We start from the raw sequence: 3,070 nt of genomic DNA, 5'->3' as shown, positions 1-3,070 counted from the left end.
CCTTCTGTTGCTGTTATCTTCTAGTTTTATTCCTAAATCCTGATCTCTCCTTAATCTTCTTTAACCCATTCCCCTGATCTGATTTCTGATCTGTCTCTTTTCCTGCCCTCCCATTTTTCATCCTTTTGCCCTTTGTTCCCAGGTCTTTTGCTCTTTTATACAAATTCTGTCCTGCTTTGATTTAGCCACCTCCATCACTCTTCTTGGTTCCCTCTCCCCACAGTCTTCATCCAAGTTCTCCCCTTTCCCTCCCTTGCCTCATACTTTCTAGGTAAGGCTTCAGTTCACAGAACTCAGAGAAGTTGGAAAGGCCCTCTGAGCCCTTTGCTATCAACATTTCCTCGCTCCTTAGAGGAAGCAACCATATTAAACAGTCTCTGGGAAGTAAATGAAGAGAAAGCAATGGCTGGAGGGCTGGAGGGGAAGGTGGGATGGGAGAGGGAAGAATAAAGCTGAATTGAGACTACTAAAGAAGGGAGGGCGTTGGAGGTAGGTGAGAATTAGACTTCAGAGAAGGAAAGTGCCATTGCTCTGATTCTGCCAGCAGAGGGCACATTTGTGCCAATAATCAGACCCAGGCCGCAGACTCTTCCAAGTGCACTGTCTTAGAATTCCAAAAAAAGATCTCAGAGACCATAGGTTAAATAGCCTGTCTTCACCCACTCAGTCGTTTTGGGTACTCAGTTGAAGGAGATCAAACTTTCAGTTTGTTTTTGTTTTTGAGGGTGAGGGTGGTAGTGATGATGAAGTCACCTTTAGCTATTTATAGTTCTTCTTTTTTTTTGAGATGGAGTCTCCCTCTGTGGCTCAGGCTGGAGTGCAGTGGTGCGATCTCAGCTCACTGCAACCTCTGCCTCCTGGGTTCAAGTGATTCTCCTGCCTCAGCCTCCCAAGTAGCTGGGATTACAGGCACGCACCGCCATGCCTGACTAGTTTTTGTATTTTTAGTAGAGACTGGGTTTCACCATGTTGGCCAGGCTGGTCTTGAACTCCTGACCTCAAGTGATCCACCCACCTCGGCCTCCCAAAGTGCTGTGATTACAGGCATGAGCCACCACGCCCGGCCTATTTTATCTTCTAATTGCTTCCTTGGGTTGGGAGGGGATGGAGGAGGACAAAAGATGAGGGGTCTGGAGGCATAACTAGCCTGGGCAGAAGCCAACTGTGAGGGGATACCTTTTAGGGTCTCCACAGGATGGAAAAAGGACATGGTCAGGAAGAGTAAAGAGCTCAGAAGGGGACAAAGGAAGTTACAAAAGCCACTTCCTGGTGCGTGCCTGTAGTCCCAGCTACTCAGAGGCTGAGGTAGGAGGATCACTTGTGCCCAGGTGTTCAAGTCCAGCCTGGGCAACATAGTGAGACCCCCATCTCTAAAATAAAGAAAGAAATAATTTTTTAAAAAGCCAGCTAGGCACAGTGGCTCACGCCTATAATCCTAGCACTTTGGGAGGCTAAGACAGGAGGATTGCTTGAGCCCAGGTGTTTGAGACCAGCCTGGGAAACATAGTGAAACCCTGTCTCTACAAAACATATGAAAATTAGCTGGGCGTGGTGGCATGTACCAGCAGCCCTAGCTACCTGGGAGGCTGAGGTCGAAGGATTACCTGAGCCTGGGGAGGCTGAGGTTGCAGTGAGCCAAAATTGTGCCACTGCACTTCAGCACAGGCAACAGAGTGAGACCCTGTCTCAAATAAATAAATAAATAAATAAAGCCACTTCCTCAGGTAGCAGCAACAGGGTTGTGGTGGCTGCAGCAGAAGTGCTGCAGCAACTGGTTCCAGAATCTAAGCAGAAGGTGGAGGAAGATCATGCAGCTACTGAAGAAGGGCCTGGGGAAATGATAGGCTTTCCCCAAAGGGGCTTTCAAGCCTGTGGCCCTGCCCAGAGACTCCGCTGGAACAGTACAAATGGCACAGTCCAGATCCTATGTGGTATGTGCTCCCTTTGCAGGAAATCTCAAGTAGAAACCTCAGAGAGCCTGTAATCCCAGCACTTCGGGAGGCTGAGATGGATGGATCACGAGGTCAGGAGATCGAGACTATCCTGGCTAACACGGTGAAACCCCATCTCTACTAAAAATACAAAAAAAAATTTAGCCGGGCGTGTTGGTGGGCGCCTGTAGTCCCAGCTACTCGGGAGGCTGAGGCAGGAGAATGGCGTGAACCTGGGAGGTGGAGCTTGCAGTGAGCCGAGATTGCGCCACTGCACTCCAGCCTGGGCAACAGAGCGAGACTCCGTCTCAAAAAAAAAAAAAAAAAAGAAGAAGAAAAGAAACCTCAGAGAGCCTATATGTGCTTCTCAGGGAGACATCGATGTCTATCCCGCACAGCAGGTTGAACTGAGCATCTCAACAGCAAATGGAGGTTAAAAGGCAGATCCTGGCTGGGCGTGGTGGCTAGAGAATAACTCCTTAGAGACCAGATCCTGGCGGTGGCTCACGCCTGTAATTCCAACATTTTGCGAGGCCAATGTGGGTGGATCACCTGAGGTCAGGAGTTTGAGACCAGCCTGGCCAACGTGGTGAAACCCCGTCTCTACTAAAAATACAACAATTAGCCGGGCATGGTGGTGGACACCTGTAATCCCAGCTACTCAGTAGGCTGAGGCAGGAGAATTGCTTGAACCCAGGAGGTGGAGGTTGCAGTGAGCCGAGATCGCACCACTGCACTCCAGCCTGGGCAAAAAGAGCGAAACTCCATCTCAAAAAAAAAAAAAAAAAAATGCAGATCCAAGTGTTTGTCTTTTATTAAAACTGCCAGAGCTCAAGAGGAAAGAATAGGGAGTGAGGCAGACAGAATAATTGTCAAGTCTTCCCCACATCATTCCTTTGTAGGAGGTACTGGGTTTAGTTAATTTGGTCCCTTAACCTGCCAAGATCTAGCCCTTACCGAGAAAAGACCAACCTATCCAGGAACTTTAAAAGAGCAGTTCCACTGTGAAGACTTCCCTTTTTGTCCCCAAATATAGCACTTTAAGCCCTCCCTGCTCCAAATACACCCACAGGTCTCTCCACTCTGCCCTGGATTGGCTCTGTGTGGCCCTCAGGGCATGTTCCCCAGACTCTCTCTCT

The 3,070-nt window shown here is 48.9% G+C and overlaps 1 annotated feature.

Annotated features, from left to right (window-relative positions):
• Positions 739-788: an enhancer, noted in NCBI's record as "active region_3566". NCBI's record gives its function as "activates an Ori minimal core promoter by ATAC-STARR-seq in GM12878 lymphoblastoid cells {active_cell/tissue: GM12878}" and the evidence as "EXISTENCE:reporter gene assay evidence [ECO:0000049][PMID:35858748]".

Source organism: Homo sapiens, chromosome 10, assembly GCF_000001405.40.
Source record: "Homo sapiens chromosome 10, GRCh38.p14 Primary Assembly".
NCBI lineage: Eukaryota > Metazoa > Chordata > Mammalia > Primates > Hominidae > Homo > Homo sapiens.
This window is presented reverse-complemented; position numbering and strand designations above follow the sequence as displayed.